Source organism: Homo sapiens, chromosome 12, assembly GCF_000001405.40.
Source record: "Homo sapiens chromosome 12, GRCh38.p14 Primary Assembly".
Taxonomy (NCBI): domain Eukaryota; kingdom Metazoa; phylum Chordata; class Mammalia; order Primates; family Hominidae; genus Homo; species Homo sapiens.
In genome coordinates this window covers 111155058-111178031 of record NC_000012.12, presented here as the reverse complement: position 1 = coordinate 111178031, position 22974 = coordinate 111155058, and the positions used below count along the sequence as shown (strand labels likewise).

The 22974-nt window shown below is 48.8% G+C and overlaps 1 protein-coding gene across 7 annotated transcripts in view, besides 1 other annotated feature; it reads right to left on the bottom strand.

Moving 5' to 3' along the window:
• CUX2 (cut like homeobox 2) overlaps positions 1-22974 on the bottom strand; it is a 316390-nt gene that overhangs the window by 172523 nt on the left and 120893 nt on the right. The window lies entirely within an intron of this gene.
• Positions 16738-17349: an enhancer, noted in NCBI's record as "H3K4me1 hESC enhancer chr12:111598487-111599098 (GRCh37/hg19 assembly coordinates)". NCBI's record gives its function as "activates a minimal SCP1, AML or CMV promoter by ChIP-STARR-seq in naive H9 embryonic stem cells {active_cell/tissue: H9 hESC(naive)}" and the evidence as "EXISTENCE:reporter gene assay evidence [ECO:0000049][PMID:30033119]".

The following is a 22974-nucleotide window of genomic DNA, read 5'->3' as shown; positions in this document are numbered from 1 at the left end:
TTCTTTGGATGTGTATTTCTTATTGGCAAACAACAATAAGAACAAACAATGACAGCTATAACTTATTGATTGCTTACTACGCGCTGGGCATTTTGTATGGGGTGATTCTCTGAATGGCAGCAACAATGCTTTGAGACAGTTATATTTTTATTCCCATTATAGAGATGAGGAAACTGAGGTCCACAGAGGTATCGTCACTAGGACAATCAACAGCAAAACCCAAATGCTAACCCAGGCCTCGGGCCAGCCCTGGTCAGAAACCTTCAATGACCACTGACCTTCCATTCCATGAAAAGTTAGCTCTGACTGTTCAGATGAACGCTACCAGAAAAATCATCCTCGGCTGGGCACGGTGGCTCACGCCTGTAATCCCAGCACTTTGGGAAGTTGAGGCAGGCGGATCACTTGAGGTCAGGAGTTCGAGACCAGCCTGGCCAACACAGTGAAATCCCATCTCTACTAAAAATACAAAAATTAGCCAGGCGTGGTGGCGCGTACCTGTAGTCCCAGCTATTCGGGAGGCTGAGGCAGGAGAATTGCTTGAGCCTGGAAGGTAGAGGCTGCAGTGAGCCAAGATCACACCAGTGTACTCCAGCCTGGGTGAAAGAGTGAGACTCCGCTAAAAAAAAATCATCCTTGTCTTCAAAATGAAAACTGCAACTAGGAAGCCCCAGCCACCCCTTGGTCCCGGTGGTACCTGTCTTTTGCAGAGATGGCTGCAGGGGGGAAAAGTGGGGGCAATTTTATTTGATTTTTCATGATGTTTGCTTTTGGGGTCTCAGGCTCTCAACAAGGTTTAGCTTGTGCCAAGTAAACGCGGGCCCTGCTCCCAAGTAGGCACGGAAAACATTTTGGATGCATAAGCCACAGGGGTGCTGGCATGCCAGAGGGCACAGAGATAAGACATCCTGAAGGAGCCCAGCACGGGGAAGACCCAAAACTCTAGAACAGTGGTTCTCAAGCAGGGGTGATTTTGTCCTCTGGGGGACATTTGGCTATGTCTAAAGATATATTTGATAGTCACAACTAGGGGTGTACTACTGGCGTCTAGTGGGTGGAGGCTGGAGATGTTGCTAAACATCTTACAAGGCACAGGACGACCCTGCAATGAGAAATTTTCCAGTCCAAAATGCCCTTCATGTGCGAGGTTGAGAAAACTGGATCTCAAAGGACCTGCAGGCATTTCCTCCGGTGAACAGACTGGAGGAATTGGGGAATGAATGGGAGAGGAGTTCAGATCTGTGTGGGCCAAGGAAGTCACATGTGAACAAGTTTCAGCCCAACAAAGGAAAGCAGCCCTGATGGTCAGGAGCCCTGTCCCCAAAGGTGGCCCAGCATATACTGGTGACCTGATAGATCCTGTGGAGGGAAAATAGAGCCTGGAGTGGGGGTTGGACACAACAACCTTTTTTTCCCCATCCAAACCTGGCACTGAATAAAGTCCCCAGGACAAGAGCAATGATGTTTGGGGTTCCTTCCAGAATCTTCCATGGATTAGTTCATTTAATCCTGCCCACAGCCCCATGACATGGGCACTGTGGTTATCCTTATGTAATAGAAGAGGAAACTGAGGCTTCAAGAGGTAAAAGTCACTTGCTTAAGGTTACAAAGATGGCAGGTAGGGAAGTCAGGACTGGAGCCTGAGTCTCCCCGATCCCCAAGCTCATTAGGAAGATATTCCTCACACTGGGCATGGTGGCTCACACCTGTAATCTCAGCACTTTTGGGAGGCCAAGGCATGAGGATTGCTCGAGGCCAGGAGTTCAAGACCAGCCTGGGCAATATAGTGAGACCCTGTTTCTACAAAATTAAAAAAAAAATTAGGTGTGGTGCACACCTGTGTTCCCAGGTACTCAAGAGGCTGAGGCAGGAGGATTGCTTAAGCCCAGGAGTTTGAGGATGCAGTGAGCTGTGATCGCATCACTGTATTGCAGCCTGGGCAACAGAGTGAAACAACTCTGTCTCTCAAAAAAAAAAAAAAAAAAAAAAAAAGAAGAAGAAGAAGAAGAGACTCCTCAAACCCCATCAGTTCTCCCCCCAATCTAGGGAAAAGCACCCACTGCCTTCCCGCCCCTGCCACCTAATGCCTTGATTTAGAGACAGAGGTAGGAGATCTGGACCCAACATTCAAGACCTAAGTTCAACAGTTCAGCCGTCTCTCATGTTAAAGACACAAAAACATGTACAATAAGCTGCCCAGATCCCCGCTTACTTTTTTTTTTTAAACAAAAACATTGCAACCGGCGGTGAAAAAGACATTGTCTTGAACATACACTTTAACTGATGTCTCCGACCATTCAGTAACATGGATAAAAGAAAACTTGCTTTATTAATAGGCCCTCATGCTAATTAGCACAATTTATTGCCAGGGAGGCAGTCCCTACCTTCTGCAAATGTTATGAGTGTAGACAAAAAAACTTTTGTTGAGAACCCAACACGATATTGCCGCGTGACCAAGCCTGCCACAAAGAGATGGGAAAAGCACACAGCTTAGAGAGGCCACTCAAAGGCATGGGGTGCTGCTCTATAAATTTATGATGTCACTTGACCATTTCCCAGTAATCAGAAAGCCCCAAATTTAAATGTCGGCTGGTTTCTGCCCATAAATATGTGTTTCTCACCACTTTGAGGAAGGTTCCCTAATGACTATGAAGCTTTGTGGAAAAGTGTAAAAAAAAAAAAAAAAAAAAGGTGTGGGTGGGGAGGGGGTTGGTAAAAAAAACCTTAAATGTTTAATATTCAATAAATGTGTCAATTTTACATACAGAGGCAAATGGGTCTTTACTGAGGAATTGGTAAATTTCCTCGGAGAAAAGTAAGTGCATTTTAGCCTTCAAGGAGTCCCAGATGAATAGAAATGGAATGTGATTTGTGATAAAACTCAGCTGCTCTATAAAAGACGTTAAATAAATGTTGCTGTTTCACCAGGGATGTACAAAATTGATTGCATTATAGACTGATTCTAAGATGCTGCATCCCTGTACGGCCCCCTCTTCTGTGTGTGGGGGGGAGCTGCTTCCAGAGACAATTTAGACTGCATGGTGACTCCTCTTCCTCATGCTGTAGCAGAATTTTCTGGAATTGTAAGATTTCCTCTTTATATTTTGATTTCAGTTGAACCACAGGAAACTGCTGCTATTTGGCCATTTTTGACTTCTTCAAAACTGCAATTTCTTCTCTATCTGCTTAATATTTCCGGTGGCCTGATCATCATCCTGGGGAAGGCTGCTGATACCTCCAAAGAGAATTGTGGTTGCTGTCTAGGGTTCACGGGTGGTGATGTCCCTGTTCCCTTTGTCTGGTCACCAGAGGGCACCCCAGTCTGTAGAGGGAATCTTGCTTTTCCTTCAGCCCACCTTGGGGAGCTTGGGAGTATCCCGTGCCCTTTCTGAATCTCAGTTTTCCCCCTCTGCAAAATGGGCACAACTCCACCTTTCCTGCAGGGTATTTGGAAAACTGGATGTGGTAACCATTGCAGGTAAACTGTCCCGTGCTTTTGGCCAGCTAGTATAAGGTATTGTGTATCCAACTAGGGGCTGCATGTGACTCACATATGACACACACAGCCCTACCCTCAAGGAACTGCTAATGTCACGTCAACATAGGACAACTTCTTCAAGTGAGAAATTAGGGTTCACAGATTGAAGGGTGGAACCAAACTGATCAGGAAAACTTCCTGGAAAGCAGGAGCGTGGACTCATTCAGACACGTCCCGTGCCTCTCCATGCCTGCTGTCATCAGCCTGGTCTGGTCACTGCCAATTCCTGCCTGGATGCTTGCAGGGGCCTCCCTGGCTCCATGCAATTCTCTGCCATCTCACTTCCACCCTGGCAGCCAGACAGGGCATTTCAAGATGTAAACTGGATGTTGATACTTCCCTGCTTAAAACCTCCCCGGACTCCCCATTCCATTTCAGATCAAATCTGAACTCTCCAGCCCAGTCTGCAAGGCCTGTGTGGTCAGGGCCCTGCCTGCTTCTCTACAGCATTTCCTCCCACAGTCCTTGTGCTTTGCTCCACCCTCTGGCCCTTCATTTGGTTCCTGGAAACTGCCAAGCCCAAACCAGCCCCAGGACCTTTGTACGTGCAGTTTCCGCTACCTGAATGCCCTCTCCTCCCAATTCTTTGCCCAGTTCAGTGGTTCCCAAAGTCTCTGGCCCAGCAGGATCAGTGTCACCTGGGATCTTGTTAGAAATGCAAATTCTTGGACGGGCTCCAGACCTACTGAATCAGAAACTCTGAGGGTAGAGCCTGGCGATTTTTTTCAAGGAAATTTCAGGTGATTTAAATGCATGCTCAAGTCTGAAAATCAATGGCCTAACTCAGGCCTACCCCTCAGCCAAGTTGCAGCTTAAACATTACTTCCAGCAGACCAACACCCCAACATGAGGCCAGTTTCCTGCTGTCGTGAGCCCCTGCTGCTGCCTCCTCACCTCTATGAAGCACTATGGCAACTGTGATGTCATCAGGAACTATTTCAAGTCTGTGCCTCTTCATAGCTAGACTAAAAGCTCCAGGAGGGCAGGTACCCCTGTGCGCCCAGCACCTCATCGTGCCTAGAAGAGAGTAGGTGCCCCGGAACTATATGTTGCATGAGCACATGAATGAATGCTCAAATGAACAAATGAATGAGTTCTGGAAGAATGACAGTGTTCATAAAGAAAGTGCCCCCTGGCATCCTATTTTCCATCCACCAGCCCACAGATCAACCCTGTCCCCGTCCCCATTTGACTTTCTGAGTATCACCCTGGTCAAGTCAGGAGCCAATCACAGCAATGTATGGGAATGACCATCAAATTAGAACAACAAGAACATCAACCAAAGAACCAGCCAAGGGGAGACTCCCACGCAGTAGATGCCCAGCTCAGGGTCTAAGCCTGAACATCCCTCAAGAAGAACAACAAACCTCTCTCTCCCTGACAGCAACTGGCTGTGCAGACAGCTTCCAGATAAAAACCTAGAGACCAAAAATTTGCAGGCAAGAAGTCTGCCCATCAGCTTGGAAGATTCCAGTCCCGCACTCACCCAAGTCTTCTGGCTGAGAGGCTGAGGCTGCCTCGAACTAAGCCCCGAGTTTATTGGAAGCTTCTCGATGCTGCACGGCAGTTTGCTCAGCTCTTGGAGCTAAAGCTGGAAGGGAAATCATTTCTTTTCCTATAACTCAGAGCAGTTATATTCTCTTAGTGTGGACATCTGGCTCACTGCTGATCTCCTTACTTACGTTTTCCAAACGATATCAGTTCTGGGAAGATCAATTATTACTGAAAAGTCGAGAAACGTTCACTGGTTATTTGCATTGATTTGGTTGACAAGACACAGACTCCTTTTAAACTACAGATGTCCATGGAAGGGACAGAGAGGAGAAAAACACAAGAACCCCAGACAGCTCGAGGTTCGGAGCCTCCACCCAGCTGCAGGAACTGCACAGAGTGGAAAGCGCTGGCTGGGATGGGGACACTGAACCACCCTCCCGGAGTCCCCCAGATAGAGCCATTTCCATCAAGACAAACAGGTAGCCAGTGTTGGCCAGCACCACAAGCAGCCACGATGATATAATTTGTTCGTTACTGCATCATCTTTAATCAATAGGATCTGGAGTTTCTACAGCTTGGACAGCCCAAATCTCTCTGGCAGCCAAGAACCAGCGGGTTGTTAAAAGGCCCGATAGTTCTGCCTCGCTAATGGGTGGCTGGTTCCCTCAACCCTGCTGATTTTTTAAATAAACCTAAATTCCAATAATTGTTTAATGTTTATTTTTATTTAGTTCTGGTTCAGATGCTCTGCGTCTCTCTGACAGAAATTGATATCTGGCTCCTGGTGAGCTTTATTAAAAAACAGGCAAACACACATGCACATACACACACAAACACACACACAGAGGCACATGCACACACAAAGGCACATGCACACACACACACAAGCATATGCACACGCAGAGACATGCATACGCACAGGTGCATGCACACACGTGTGCACATGCACATGTATACGCAGGCACAGGTACACACAGGCATATGCACACACATGCGCACACACAGGCACATGCACACACACACAGGTGCATGCACATGCACGCACACACACGCACGTGTACACAGGCACAGGCACACGCACACACAGAGAGTGCATATGCTGCCTGCCCATTGGGAAATGGGTTATTTATTTGGTACAGGTAAGGCCCAGGACCCACATATCTGGATGGGAGAAGACAGAGGGCCAATTTCCCAAGCTCTGCCTTCTCTCCGGCTCCTTCCCCGGGAGGCGAAAAGGGACCCTGCCATTCTTTCACCAGGGAGCCCTGTTCTCAGCTCAGGCACTGGACAAAGGTGACACTGAGCCCCTAATTATGGCCTGCAAACCCCTTCAGCATCACTGTGGCCACAGGCTGGGATGACTCCTCAGAGAGGGCACTCTGGGCTTTTCCGTCCCATAGCCCCAGATGTGTCAGGTGGCTGTGCTCCGGAGACCCACTGAGCCACTAGCCATCTGCGTGCACAGGGACACGGGACCGGGGTTTCCCCACAAGCCATGGAAACAAGGAAGCAAGATGTCTCCGGGCTGCTTGCATTGGGTCAGAGAGAGACCCACTCCCACTGGTGCATAAGAAACCCCTCTCGTCTGTCCTTCTGGCCGGTCTCAGAAAAGCCGCAGTGAGTCTGGGTATTAAGGGGAGGTTTTTGGTGCTCTCAGCAGGCTGCACAATGCACTAAGGGGCTCAGGTGTTCACTGGCAAAATCACTGCAAACTGATGACCTGCAGATCGGGCTTGCCAACAAGGTCAAGGTGTGTGTGAAGGTCAAACTCGAGGCTTTCCTTCCATACTCTGCACCCCGTCCATCAGACTGGGGGTTGCCCAACTTCTCCATCTCTGTCACCCCCAAGTGGAATCAGCCACTGACACCTGCTGGGATGACTCCAGGTGTTACCAGCACCTATTCTCTCCTTGGATGCCAACGCCACTCTGGGTCACAGCCCAAGAGGCATCACCAGGGCAACCAGAACACCTTGCTGGACCCTACCTGGCGCTTCCCCACTCCCCTCCCATTCCCATGCACCTTGACCAGAATTGCCGATGCCAGACATGGGCCCGGTCCATCCCTCCTTAATCTCTCCCGCTTCCCAGGAGACACTCCCATGGCTTCCACATGCTTATTCCCTCCACCTCGGCCTTCCTACCACGCTGGGCCCGAGGTCAGGGACCCAGCCACGGAGAGGAACAACCTGCTATTTTCATCTTTCCAACACACCACACATAAGAGGAAGTGATGTCAAAGTTCCTCTTTCTGTCGGAGAATGGGGAAGACTGGAATCATTGAGCAGTTTCTGCAGCAAGTGGAGAGGATGTTGAAAAGAACCCAGGCTTTGTCATCAGAAGAACTGGGTTTCAGGAGGCAGGGGTTGCAGTGAGCTGAGATCGTGCCACTGCATTCCAGCCTGGGTGACAGAGTGACACACCGTCTCAAAAAAAAAAAAAAAAAAAAAAAAAAGAAGAGCTGGGGGTGTGCATCCAGCTTCAGTCACTTCCTAGCTGTGTATCCTGGGCACATCACCCTATCCTGTGATCCACGGTGGGGGCAGTTTTTTTTTTTTTCTTTCTTTCTTTGAGACGGAGCTTTGCTCTTGTTGCCCAGGCTGGAGTGCAATGGCATGATCTTGGCTTACCACAACCTCTGCCTCCCAGGTTCAAGTGATTCTCCTGCCTCAACTTCCCGAGTAGCTGGGATTACAGGCATGTGCCACCACTCCCGGCTAATTTTGCATTTTTAGTAGAGAAGGGGTTTCTCCATATTGGTCAGGCTGGTCTTGAACTCCCGACCTCAGGTGATCTGCCTCCCAAAGTGCTGGGATTACAGGCGTGAGCCACCACGCCTGGCCAGTTATTGTTCTTAATACTCTCATCCTGGGAGACTCAGGACGAATGCTCAAGTGCAATCCCTTACTGCTGCATAGGGGCTGTTACTGTTGGCACCCCAATTCTTGGAGGCAGTTTCCTTAAATTCTTCCCCCTAGTACCTTGCATGGGGCATCCAGTGGCCCTGTTTGCACAGGGAATTTGCTTCCATCCACAGCTGCCACACACAATCTCTAGCGGGCTCCCTGCTGTCCACATATGGCCCATAGTCATTCCCTGCCACCCTCATGCCCTCTGGACCACCCTGGCCTGCCACCAGCCACCCCAGCAGAACCACGTCTCTGTGTGTAATCGACTCTAATAATTGTCCCAATACATAAGGCGTGTACTCAGGGTCTATTATCAGCTAATGAGTAAATAATATTCTGTTCTAAATCCAAAAGCGCTATTAGATACCAGAGGGGGACTAATGGGCGTTTTAAGACCCCTTTAATCACATATTAACGTGACGCGAAGCAGGCTGCGGAGCCCATATGCCAACCACCCTGCCACTGAGGAGGCTTTTTCCTCTTTAAAAGAACAAAGTCAGGGAGAGAGCCAGCCCTCCATCCTCAGGGCTGGTTAGGCAGCCAGGCCGACCCGCTGAGGGTGGAAGAATGTCCCTGATCCGATTGGCTATCTTTGAATAAAACGAGTATGGTTGTGGCCATCCCTGCTTTTCTGGGGCATGGTGGGGAAAGGGGGTTCTGTTCCTACGGACGCTGTGATGAATTACCACCAACTAGGGGAGTTTAAAACAACAGGAATGTCTTCTCTCCCGCTTCTGGAGGCTGGAAGTCTGAAATCAAGGTGTGGGCTGGCAGGGCTGCGCTCACTCTGCAGGCTCCAGGGGAGGGTCCTTCCTCGCCACCTCCAGCTGCTGGTGGTCGCGGCCATCCTTGGTGTTGCTGGGCTTGTGGCATCGCTCCCATCCCTGCCTCTGTCATCACATGACTTTCTCCCTGAGTGTCCCTGTCTTCATGTGGCCTTTTGACAAGTACAATCAGTCATTAGATTTAGGGCCCACCCTACTCTAGTATGGCCTCATCTTAACTGATTTCACCTGCAGAGACCCTGTTTCTAAATAAGGTCATACCCTGAGGTTCTAGGTGGACATGAATTTTGGCGGATGCCATTCAATGCAGGACAGAGGTGAGATGGAGGGGTAGTGATGACAGTGGGGGGAGGGGGCAGGCAGGGGGCTCTGATATGGACCTTCATACTCTGAGCGACTATAACATAGAGTTCCTGCCATCTTGCAACCCCCACCCGGCTGAGCATTCCACAAAAGTTCAAGCACCCGACCCAAATTCCTCCCACTGATCCATCATGTCCTATTAGCAACTTGCGTTTCTTATTAGCTACTTCCATCGACTCATATTAATATTTGTTTTCCCTAATACAATGCAGGAGTCTTCTCCGATTAGTAACTTTCATATCACATTAGTGGAAACAACTATGAATACAATACAATCCCAATATGACACAGTTTGATGGGGAGTCACTAACACAATGCGACTCTCCCCTGTGATGGCACAGGAATGTCGCTCTGTTGTCAGGCAGAGCTAGGGAACGTGGAAACAATCAGTCCCCAGCATGCTGAGCCACATGGGCCACCCTTGACCGACGGGACGAGGTTCTGGTGTGGTGGGAGGTCCTGCTTGGAAGGAACCAACTTAGTGCGTCTCTCCTTGTTTCCAAACACCCACCCATCAGATCAATAAGGATCATTCCAGCTATTCTCCAAAACTTCTGAGCAGCCCTGGAATCTGCAGGGGACAGGTGACAGGCAGAGAGAAGGGCTTGTGACATCTTCTGCAACCCAGATCTCCACAGCTCTACCTTTATCAGTGTGACAGGCAGGGCTGGTGTTGCCCAGGTTAATTCATCAAGGATGTGTGAACACAGCAGAGTTGGGGTGAGGTGAGGAGCCACAAACTGGGTTGCTGTCTGATGAGGCCTCAGGAAATGGGTTGGGGAGGAACGGCGCTGAGACGGTGCACATCTGTCAGGGCAGTTTAGAAAGACTTCACTCCAGCCAGCTTGGCTCCGGACTGGCTTGAGTTCAAATCTTATCACTGCCCTCTCTAGGTGATCTCTCTGTGCCTCAGTTTCCTCCTCTGTAAAATGGGGATAAAACAGGGCGTACCCTGAGCGCAGTGGCTCACAACTGTAATCCCAGCACTTTGGGAGGCAGAGGTGGGTGGTTAACTTGAGGTCAGGAGTTCGAGACCAGCCTGGCCAACATGGTGACACCCCTTCTCTACAAAAATACAAAAATTAGCTGGGCGTGGTGGCGTGTACCTGTAATTCCAGCTACTCAGAAGGCTGAGGCATGAGAATCACTTGAACTCAGGAAGCAGAGGTTGCAGTGAGCTAAGATCATGCCACTGCACTCCAGCCTGGGCAACAGAGCAAGACTCCATCTCAAAAAAGAAACAAACAAACAAACAAACAAACAAACAAACAAACCCAGGGCCAACCTAATAGGATTGTTAGGAGGATTAAATGAGATAGGAACAGAAAAAACTTAGAGCTTTGCATGGCATCTGACAACGTGGTAAATCTGCCTTAAGATGCAGCACAGGCTATGACTGCAAATCCTGAAGTGACTCGGTCCCTTCTACCATGGACGGGGGTCACCCCTCCTTGCCTTTCAAGTTCACCCACTTGTTCTGAGTGAGCTCTGGGCTAGGCATTACAGAAAAATAAAAAGTTGAGGATGAAACAGGCCCTCCCCCTCGAGAAGCCCATGGTCTACTTAGGGGCACAAGCTACAGAACCGAGAGGCAGGGGTCATATCACAAGAGGTTTTCGAGCCAAGTCAAGGAGTGTGAACTTTATCTCGATGGAAATAGGGAACAGTGGAAGAAGCAAAAGCCCCTAAGCTTCAGTGCAGGTGAAGGAAAGAAGGCCTGTGGGGACAGGGGATGGTGCTTCCCTTGGTGCCAAACCACCTGTCAGCTCAAGTCCTGGCAGAAAGAGAGGCCAAGGGATAGCAAGAGACAGAGACAGACAGGGGCAGGGAGGACAGTGCAGAAGCTGAGACTGTGAGCTTCTTGTGACAGTGCTGGCGCTCTCGCTCTCCCTGCCAGCCTGTCTAGGAGACTGGCAGAGCCCCCGCCCTGCCCTGCCACAATCCATTCCAAGCTATCCCAGGCAAGGTTGCCGAATAATTCCCACCGCCTCCAAACGGCACTCCACGTGGCAGCCAGCAGCCTGCTGCCAAGGGGCAAGTGGCCAAGATTCCCTTCCAACAGAGACATCCCCTCGCCAATCAGAATGCGGCCGGCACGCGTCCCAGAAAGTTGGACGGTTGCTGTTCGCCAAGCAGATGATGCCGTCAGGACTTCTCGGTCCTGGGCAGTGTCCGCTACCCCCGCCCAAGCCTCCCAGCAAGGAGGGTCCACTCTCAGGGACCAAACACCGGCCCCTTCCACGTTTAGCCTCTGCAGATCCTCCTGATGAAAGCACAGACTCTACAGTCAAAATGCGAGGGTTCAAAGCCTGGCCCCTCCATCAAGCAGCTGTGCAAACCAGAGCAAGTCACTTAACTTCTCTGAGCCTCGGGCTGTGTTCACAACATGGGGTTCATACCTCATAGAGTTGTTGGGTGGGTTAAATGAGAATATCTGCAGGAAGTGCTTTTCCAGTGCCTGGCACTTAGTCCATGCTCAATAAATGTTAGTTTGGGTATTACCATCTACGGTATGTCGTCTACTCAGAACTCAGCTAACTGATAATGTCAGCTTTCCAGAATGGAGCTAGGAGCCAGAGGGTTAGAAGAAAAGGCTTCCAAGCAGTTAAAATAAATGTCGCAGGCTGGGCGTAGTGGCTCACGCCTGTAATCCCAGTGCTTTGGGAAGCTAAGGCAGGAGAATCGCTTGAGGCCAGAAGATCAAGTCCAGCCTGGGCAACAATAGCGAGACTTCGTCTTTACAAAAAAATGAAAAAAGTTAGTCAGGTGTGATAGTGCACACCTATAGTCCCAGCTACTCAGGAGGCTGAGGCAGGAGGATCACTTGAGCCCAGGAGGTTGAGGCTGCAGTGAGCCGTGATCACACCACTGCACCCCAGCCTGGGTGACAGCGAGACACCCAGTCTATAAAAACAACAACAACAAAAAAGAGTCAAAGTGGACACACTGAAAGCGCAATCATGAAAACCATTTCATATTAGTAATATTAGAGTAACATGCTTAATATAATCGTAATTAGTAATCACCACCACCAAACACTGTGGATAGCAATTTAAATACGTCTTGGCATTTCACCAGTAGGATGCTGGTAAATGTTAAACAACCAGCTCTCTGGAGAAAAAGGACAAATTCTGATATTTACCATTTCCATGGTGTACATTTTCCCACCATGGTCAATTTCAAGCCCTGCTGTGATGTCACTACACGTGGAGCTGGGAGGCGATGCTTATAGCTGGTTCTCACCCACCAGCTCTGGTCACTGCTGCACGAACACTCTCCACATCCCAATGAGGTCAGTGCTATTTTTACCCCCATTTTGTAGACAAGGACAATGAGGCCCAGATACACATATTTCTTCACCCAGGGTCATACAGTGAGCAAGTGGCAGCAGCACCAGAATTTGAGTCCAGTTCTGTGTGGATTTTAAAGTTCATGTTCTCTGCACGTGGCCCAAATTCCCCGCCATGAGACAATAACACTGACCGTCTTGGTAGAGACAGACGACAGTCTGTGTCCACTCTCCACCAAACCCTTGCATCTTCTGTGCTTAACTCTGTTTGACAACTTCTGGAGGCCACTGCCTCAATGAGGTCACTCTGGTTTGGCTCTGAAGACGTCCTGCCATGTGGGTCACCATGGCCCTCCATGACCTTCCTACTTCTCTTTTCTCAGGGGGCAGAAAGATGCATCTCTTCCCTACCCAGAGAGCTAAACACCAAATGTTTTCCTAATAAAATGGCATATAGGATCATAGCCTCCACCCCATCCTTACCCGCATAAATAGCCCCTAGTCCCTTACGACACAGAGGCCCTTCTGACAGCATCTACAAAGTAGCTTAAGAAAAAAAGGGAATCCATTGCTCATATAATTGAACAGTGGAGTGGTGGCTTCAGGTATGGCTGGATCCAGCAGTTCAAATGCTATTCGCAGGGTTTGATTTCTGTCTCTTGGCTCTGCTTCCCTCTGATCTGTCCTCCTCCTCTCCCCCCCATGGCTGGCCCTAAAACTTTAATTTTCACACGAGTCACCTGGAGATCTTGTTAAAGTACAGATTCTGCTACAGGGGGTACAGGCAGGGACAAGTCTCTGTATTTCTAATGAGCAATTCAGTTCTACTGTGGACCACACTGTAACATCACACTGTTAGCAGTGAGGATGTGAATCCCCAACATTCACATCCCCAAATTGCTCATGGGACCCCTAACATTCCTCTGTGCCTCAAGGTTTCATAAACTCCCAAAGCAATTATTGCGTGACTTCTAACTACGAACACCTTGGGGGGCTGATCCAATTTGTGTGGATCCCTCATGCTCACTTTCTGTTATTGTCTTTTGCTTGTTCTCTTTTTTTTTCTTTTTTATTTTTTTGAGATGGAGTCTCACTCTGTTGCCCAGGCTGGAGGGCAATAGCACAATCTCTGCTCACTGCAACCTCCACCTCCCAGATTCAAGTGATTCTCCTGCCTCAGCCTCCCAAGTAGCTGGGATTACAAGCACGTGCCACCACGCCCAGCTAATTTTTGTATTTTTAGTAGAGACGGGGTTTCACCATGTTGGCCAGGCTGGTCTCAAACTCCTGACCTCAAGTAATCCACCCGCCTCAGCCTCCCAAAGTGCTGGGATTACAGGCATGAGCCACCATGTCCCGCCCCTGTTCTAACTCCTACTCAACAAACACCAAGTGTCCCCTCAATACCAGGCCTGGAAGGGTGCTGGGAATATGGGAAGCCCTAATCTCAGCCTCAGGGAGCTGACAATTCCCTCCATTTTGCAGGAAAACCCCCAGAGAGTCTGTGAGTTCAGTTTCCAGGTAGTATTATAATAACAGCATATGCTTAGACAGTACTTACTACATGCCAGGGACTGTTCTAAGTGCTATAGAGATATTAATCCATTTAATCTTTTTAACTCACCCTATGCCCTAGGTCCAATGATTAGCCCCATTTGACAGATGAAGGGATTAAGGTTCATGGAGACAAAGTCACCTGCTCAAGGTTATACAACCTTGAAAAGAAAAGAGAAATGATTTAAACTCCTAGAGGAAAAGTAGGTGTGGGGCATGGTTCTATGTTGGGGACTAAGGAACGCCCCTGGGTAACTTGACCCCTGGCAAGCATGGGTGGGCGTGAGTCAGCAGAAATAAGTGGGCAAGTGACTCCTCCTGGCTGGATTCAGGGGGATGAAGGAGAAGAGTCCTGTATTATTTGGCACTCTTCAAGTTGTAAGCAGCAGCAGCCTAATGCAAAGTGGCTTAAGCATAAAAAGGAAACTGCTGCTTATATAGCCAAACGGTGCCAAGGTAGTTTCAGGTATGGCTGGATCCAGCAGTTCAAACAACCTTGGCAGGGTTTGATCTCTTTCTGTTGGATCTGACCCCCTGTGAGCTGTCCTTCTTCTCTCTTACCATGGCTGGCTTCCTCCAGGAATGGAGGGACAATGGCTGCTGACAGCCCTAGGGTTACATCCTCCCGCAGGTAAAAACACTTTTCTCCCCCAGGCTCATATATAAGTCACAGCGAAGTTTTACTGGAGCACAACCACATCTATTCATTGAGGTACTGTCCACCGTCACTATTCGGTTACAATGGTTGAGTCATTGCAACACAGACCATGCGGCCTGTAAAGCAGAAAATATTTACTGTCTGGCCATTTGCAGAAAAACCTATTTTAGACAGCAATGCCGTCAATAATACTTAACTAACAGCCTCCAAGTGAGTACTATATGCCAGATATAGTTCTAAGCATTTGTTTGCTTCTTACAACAATTCTATGAGGTGGGTAAACTGAGGCATGAAGAGGTTAGGAGTGGTCAAGCTCAAGGTCAGGCAGCCAGTCAGCAGCAGAGCTGAGATTCGAATTCAGCAGCTTGACCCCAAATTCCTTTTTTTTTTTTTTTTTGAGACAGAGTCTTGCTCTGTTACCCAGGCTGGAGTGCAGTGGTAGGATCTCGGCTCACTGCAAACTCGGCCTCCCAGGTTCAAGCGATTCTCCTGCCTCAGCCTCCCGAGCAGCTGGGATTACAGGCACCTGCCATCATGCCTGGCTAGGTTTTGTATTTTTATTAGAGATGGGGTTTCACCATGTTGGCCAGGCTGGTATCGAACTCCTGACCTCAGGTGATCTGCCTGCCTTGGCCTCCCAAAGTGCTGGGATTACAGGCGTGAGCCACCACACCTGGCCCTTACCCCAAATTCTATGCTCTTCGTCTCTCTGCTAATCAAGCAAGGGTCTTCTGGAAGCTTCAGTAGGTAGGTGTCTAAATTAGGGTGTGAGTTTCCAATTATGGGTTCAAGAAACATACACGCACTTGCTAAAACAAGTAGTCAATTACCCACAGAGCTTCCTCTGCTTGTGAGCTGTTCAGCACTGTCCCATCATCGCTGTGATGGAGAGAGCTGTCCCAGTGAGCCATTGAGTTCTTCCTGGACAGGGTGGCTCAAGCCCCCAAAGTGGGCCAAGGCCGCACATCCCAGCAGTGGGGCTTCAATACAGCTGCAATCCAACATGGGCTTTAGCCCACCCACCAGGGCTCCATGCACAGGCTCCCGTGATAAGCCTGCTTCTCTTGCAACAGGATCTCACCAGCTCTGGTCCCAGAGCTCTGAGAAGCCCACAGCTCCAAGGACGAAACCCCACCTCCCACCCGTGGCAGTCACTGGAATACTTTGGGCTGGGGTAGGGGAACAGAGACTTTCACTTCCAGTGGAGGAAGGCAGGGGCTGGTGGCCAGGGGCAGTTCTCACCTCTGAGAGAGAGTTCAGGGCTTCACACCAGGCCCGGCAATGCCGCTTACTAGTGGTGCGACTCTAAGCAAAGCATTTTCTCTCTCTGGGCCTCAGCTTTCCCCCTCTGTAAAATGGGCATAACAGTAACGCCCCTGCTGAAGTGACTTTAAGAAATGACATCCTGTCCAGGTGCGGTGGCTCATGCCTGTAATCCCAGTGCTTTGGGAGGCCAAGGCAGGAGGATCGCTTGAGCCCAGGAGTTCGAGACCACATTGGGCAACATGGGGATACCCTGTCTCTACAGAAAAATACAAAAATCAGCCGGGTATGTTTGCGCATGCCTGTAGTCCCAGCTACTTGAGAGGCTGAAGTGGGAGGACTGCTTGAGCCTGGAAGGTTGAGGCTACAGTGAGCTGTGATCGTGCCACTGCACTCCAGCCTGGGTGACACAGTGAGACCCTGTCTCAAGAAAACAAAAAAAGAAAAGAAATGGCATCCAGCGACACTCAGCATAGAGTGTGAGAGCTAAGAGAACGGGTTTTGCAGTTGAACTGCCCTGTTTCAGTCCTGTCTACACCATACTGCTGTGCAACTACTATTTTGCTGAACCTCAGTTTCCTCATCTGTACAATGAGAGTAATTGTAGAACTTTCCTCTTGGGGTTGTTGTGAGGATTAACTGAGCCAATAGGTAGTCAGGGCGGACACACAGTAAAATACTCAACATTAGCTGTTAGGATTACCATCAACCAAGGCATGCAAGAGAGTGTTTCAGTAACAAAGTGTGTCCTTATTTTCTGAGATAAGCGTGACATGAACCACTCTGGGAAGCTGGTCCCAGCCTCCAGGGAGGTGACCCAGTGTTCTGAGGCCTCAATGCTGGGGGAACCAACCTCATGATCCCCCAGCCCTATGGAGCCCTGCTGCTGTGATTCTGGTTCATTTTGGGCTGAGTCCCCAGAGGGTGCATCCCTTTAATGGGTGTTGCCCATCAGAGCCCAGGGGCTGTGCTGAGACAGCTGATGGGGATAAAGTGGCCATGCTTAAGTACCCTTCCAGTGATCCAGGGCTCTGGCTCAGAGCCCAGGGCAGCCAGGCAAGGGCTGGCCCTTTGAGCCAAGGAGACACAGTCTGCCCCGTCTGTGGTCAAGCCCAGGGCTCACCTCCAGCCCCCAGGTCTCTGAGCTCCACCACCCACCCACTGCGGACCTGATAACCCCTCTGGGAGACCATGGGCATCTCAGGTTTCAAACCCATAGCCAAAAGGGAACTCTGCACTCTCACGTCCCATCTGCTCCCGCTATTCCTCCCTGCATCTTCCCCATGGCAGGAAGCGGCACGGAGTCCACCCAGCTGTTCAGGCCAGGAGCCCGGGAGTCATCTTCATTCATTCCATCCCGACACATTACATCATCACCGCAAGCCCCATCAGCCCCACTCCTAAGGCCAAGTCCAAGCCATCTTCTGTCACCAAGCCTCCTCCTCCAGGCCACCGCCTGCCCCCCACGGTGCTGTTCCAGAGGAATCCCCTGAAAATGCCACTGGACTGCGTCACTCCTCTGCATAGCCCTCCATTGGCTCCCTGGACATGGAGACAAAAACCCAGGCCCCTTCGTGTGGCCAAGGAGACCTCCACAGCCAAGTGCCACCCTGCTCCCTGCTCGCATCTCGCGCCCCCTCTGTGCCGGGTCACGCGAGTTCTTGGACCAGGAAGGGCCCTCCCTGACACACTGCACGTGTGCACATGCAGACACACAGGCACAGAGATGAAGGCTCAGACACACTCACACACACCCTGCACTACACACACGTCCCGAATACGCCCAGATGCCCGCACACACATGCTTGCCCATACACACTCTGACACGCACCCTGCACACACAGGCCAGACACACCTATCTCTGACTGGTCTGATTCCTCAGCCTTAGGGGGTCCATTTAATAGCCCTCCAAACCATGGCATGCTGTTTCTTTGCAGAATCACAATTTGTAATTCTTCTATCACAACTTGTTGACATGCTTAGCAAATGTCCCCCTAGCCCCGTCCTATGCTGCCTGTCCCAGGAGACATTCTTCTGTTCATTGCTGTATTCCCAGCGCCCAGCACCCAGCAGGAGCTCAATGAATATTGAAGGAAAGAAGGAATCATCCCCTAACTCCTTTTGCTTTTTTTGTAGTTGTTGTTTTGTTTTGTTTTTAAGATAGTCTCACTTTGTCGCCCAGGCTGGAGTGCAGTGGTACAATCTCGGCTCACTGAAACCTCTGCCTCCCGGGTTCAAGCGATTCTCCTGCCTCAGCCTCCAGAGAAGCTGAGATTACAGGTGTGCATCACCCTCCCTGGCTAATTTTTGTATTTTTAGTAGAGATGGGGTTTCACCATGTTGGCCAGGCTGGTCTCAAACTCCTGACCTCAGGTGATCCACCCGCCTTGGCCTCCCAAAGTGCTGGGATTACAGGCGTGACCCACTGCGCCTGGCCTCCTTTTCTGTTTTTAAATAGGGCTGCACTTGCATGCTTGCCTATGGGTCAAAATGTCCTGAGAAAACAAATAAGAAGTATGTGAATAGCCGGAAGGGGGCTGGAAGTTCAGGAGACTCATTGTTTATTCTGAAATCATTTTTAATGTCTTGATTTTTAAAAATTACAGATCAGTTGCTTATGAAATAATGCATCCTTAAAAAATTAATATTTTTAAATGAGCTACCCAAAAATGTTCTCAAACTGGTCCAGCTTCAGAACCCTTGGGAAGTATTTCTAAAATCCTTGCAGGTGGCTGGGCTCAGTAGCTCATGCCTGTAATTCCAGCACTTTGGGAGGCCAAGGCAGGAGCATTGCTTGGGGTCAGGAGGTCAAGACCAGTCTGGGTAATGTAGTGAGACCCCTCTCTCTAGGAAAAAAAAAAAAAACAGCTGGGCATGGTGGCGCACACCTGTAATCTCAGCTACCTTTGAAGGTTGAGGTAGGCGGGATGACTTGAGCCCAGGTGGCTGGGGTTGCAGCGAGCTACGATCGCGCCACCGCATTCCAGCCTGGGTAACAGAGCAAGACCCTGTTTCCAGCAACAACAACAACAACAACAAAATCCTGGCAGGAGAAGCTGGGTTGGGCTCTCAGGTGGGTACTATCAACACCTGTCTGAGTGGGATGAGGGATCGGAACACCAGCTGGGCTTGAGAAATGGGGGTCCACACAGCCCCTTCCCAGGCCTGAGGGACAGCACCTTGCTCCCATTTCCTGCGCCCCTCTGTGTTCACGACCAGCCTGTCTGTCCATGAAGGAAATAAGTTTTTCTGTGGCTGAGTGTTGTTCCCAAGGCCACACTGCTGCTGTTACATCCAAGAGTACATGGGCAGAGACTGGCTCATGATTTGACAGCTTTTTTCTAGACCCTTCCCAGGAAGGGAAGCTGGGCTGACCGGGCCAAAAATCACAGACTGCCCTCGTATCTTTTTTTTTCTTTAAGTAGAAAGTTTTAATTACATTTATAGCCCTATTCAATATAATAATCTCACAACATTTCCCTTCTCCTAAAGGATTTTTTTGTTTTGTTTTAAATCGTGTAAAACATGCAGGGTCCCCAGGCTGCTGTCACCCATCTTCATGCAGATGCTCCGGGCTTTCAAAACAGCTGTTCCTCCCCAGAGTCCCATTCCCTTCCCCAGCCCAGGCTATCTTTGCACTGCCCACTCACACAATGGCATACTTTCTCCAAGTGTCTGATCATGGCTGAGCTTTTTTTTTTTTTTTTAATAAAAATTAATTCTTTTTTTTTTTTGGTAGAGACTGGGTCTCACTTTGTTGCCCAGGCTGACCTCAAACTCCTGGCTTCAAGAGATCCTCCCACTTTGGCCTCCCAAAGTGCTGGGATTATAGGCATGAGCCACCGCACTTGAGCTCATTCTTCTTAAAAGATGGGGATTGACAGAAAACAACAACAAAAAATCAAAGGTGCTTCCAGTAGGTCATTTGCTATTTGCTCTCCACACCCCACCCATCCTTACCAGGTCCTTCCTGTTTGTGAGGTGAGGAAGAGAGGGGGAAGGGGACTATCCCTGATCCTCCGTTTTCACCTGACATAATTGAAAACTGTTTTTCTATTATCCGTTCCATCGTTGGCCTCCTGCCTTGCCTCTTTTCTTTGAACCTTCCTGATTGCGTCTCTGTGGAATCACATTGGTCCTTTGCACATCTCTCCAGGGATTTGGTTTAATTTTTACATCTTCTGAGGGTCCCAGTTGCTTTACTGATTCCTAAACAATTTCAGGTGGAGACAACATGGCATTCATGTGGTCTCATGGATGTTGTGCTAATCCATGTCTTTGCTTAATGTCTGCAGGAATGGCCAGTGAACATTCCTCTTCAAATACATCTCCTGGAATATCTGTAGCTGTTGCTAAAGCTATACACTACTATCCCTAAGTGATTCTTCATCTTCCCCACTCCCTCTCATCAACCTAAGAATGACTTATGAGGCAGAGATAACAAATATGTAGCATGTGCATGCTCACTGCCACCTCCCGTGTCCATGGTAGACATTACTAATGGATCACCAACTCCTATGCTGCAATCCAAACCATCGATGAATTTGGTCAACTGGACTTTTCATGTAAAGCCCAAATCAAATAAATTCTTATCCATCACCCATCCTCACCTGCAATAACCTTGAACCTGGCCTTTTGGCATCTCTTCCTTCCTCCTTTCCATTGATTCTCTATACACAACCTAGAGTGATTTTTTTTTTAAAGCTGTAATCTTTGAAACATAAACCAGATCCTAGCACTTCCCCAAGGAAAATCCTCCCATAGCTTCTCAATGCATTCAGAATAAGATGCCAACTCTATCCTGTGCTTGAGTTTTGCATGAGCTGGTCTTTTAGTATCTATTACCAGCCTCTCCCAACTAGTGCCTGGCACATAGTAAGTGCTCCAAAATGTTTATAGATTGAATGAGGCTCTCTTTTGCTGATCTAGAATGCAGTCTAAGAATCCTTGTCAACGCAGAGCTCCAGGAAGCTGCCAGTGAATTCTCAGGGTTAGCATGCAAAATGCAGCCTCCCTCAAAGTCTGTTCTGATACTGGGCGATTCTACCCATCTCTGACTATTTGGGAATGAAGCAGTGTGCAAAAAAATCAGTGTAGCCCCCTTGATCAGCTTATTTTCTTTCATAATATGTACAAAGTGTTTTACTCCTGTTTTTTGTTTCTGTTTCTGTTTTTTTTTTTTTTTTTTTTTTTTGAGAGAAGTTTTGCTCTTATTGCCCAGGCTGGAGTGCAGTGGCACAATCTTGGCTCACTGCAGTCTCCGTCTCCTGGATTCAAGCAATTCTCCTGCCTCAGCTTCCCAAGTAGCTGGGATTACAGGGATTACAGGCATGCGCCACCACTCCTGGCTAATTTTGTATTTTTAGTAGAGATGGGGTCTCACCATTTTGGTCAGGCTGGTCTGGAACTCCTGATCTCAAGTGATCCACCTGCCTCAGCCTCCCAAAGTGCTGGGATTACAGGCGTGAGCCACCGCACTCGGCTTTGTTTACTTTTTGTAGTGGAAAATGGTTTGCTAAGGTTGTGCTTTGGGCTCACCAGGCTGCTGAATGGGGTTCCTCAGCTTTGGGCATCTGGTGGCAGGGACCTTCAGGAGTCTTTCCCATGTTTGGACCAGTGCATCAGTGAGGCTGTCACTGCAGAGAAAGACGCTAGGGGTCAGGTGATGGACTGCTGCTTCTTTAGAGCATCACCTTCATGACTGGCTGAGTCACCAGGATGGCTGAAAAACAGGTTCTAGAAAATCAAACATTCTGGAAAGCCCTGGAGGAACCACTGGGAGACAGAGAAAATATTCCGAAATAAGGAGTTTAGAATGGGGATAGTCTCTGAGCCTGCTAACTGGTTTCCTGGGGAACAGGGATGAGGGCAGGAAGAAAAGGGGAACATCTTAGAGCAAAAGGGGAACATTCCTGGTGCTTCCATCAGGTTTCTTGGGAAGCAGGGATGAGGGCAGGAGGGAAAGGATACAGAGCAAGGGAAGAGTAATTAGTGCTATTAATTACATCTCAATCACAGCCTACGTTTCTGCCCCGGGATTAAAGAAACATTCATTTGGAACGACTATTAAAGTCTTAAACTCAATGCTTCACAAATCAGGGCGGTGGAATGAAAATTCTTTCTCTGTAGGGACCAGGAGGCAGAAAGCAAGAATTTTCTATCCAGGTTGCTGCAGTCCAGCTGGAAAAGCCAGGGCTTGTGAGCGGGTTTGCTTGTTATTATTGTTGGCTGGTTTTTATTTTTATTTTTTTTTTTTATTTTTTAAGCTGTTTCAGGCAGGGATGTGTTCCAAATGTACAATCTAATGTGCTATAAAAGTCACTAATGTGATTATACTTTTATATCATATTAGAGAAAATGAATACTAATTCAATACCAAACGCTAATTCGGTAGAACCACAAAATGCTGAGAGGTTGCAAAACACTTGCCAGGCTGAACTTTCCGGCTGGTGCCTGAGAGCGTGTGGTGGCGTTTTCAGGAGTTGGTGTGTGCGGTTTAGTGAATCGGGCAGTCAGAGCTGTCCGGGTCTGCCATTCCCTCTGCAGTGGACAGAGGCTAGGGTGGTTTCCCTGGGAACATATGGGAGAAACCTCATCACCCTGGGAGAAGCTTTCCAATGCTCAGAGGAATTTTCCCAATGAAAATTTTGCAAAATTTTGCAATTTTCATTGGGAGTGCAAGTCTGTTTGGATTTTTAAACTAAGCATGTTGTTTGATGGCATCAGCAATGGGACAAGGTGCTTGTAAATCCAAGTAAAGCTTTTCAAAGAAAGAGCACTAAGAATCATGGCCCAGGAAGTAATATTAATGGCCAACATTTGCTGAACGTTTACTATGAGACAAGCACTGTTTTAAACTCTTTTTTTCCATTCATTCATTCAACCCTCAAGACTACTGTATGAACTAGAGACCCTTTTTGTACCCATTTGACAGATGAGGAAAATGGAGGCTCAGAGAGGTGAAGTGACTTGCTCAAGGTCACACAGCCAGTAAGGAACAGAGCTGGGATGCCAGGCCAGGTTGTCAGCTCCAGAGCTGCATCTTTAATCACTCAACTTAATTGAAGTCAGGCCCACTGACAATTATGTCTTACCTGTATTATCGCGTGTTAACCTGGAGGC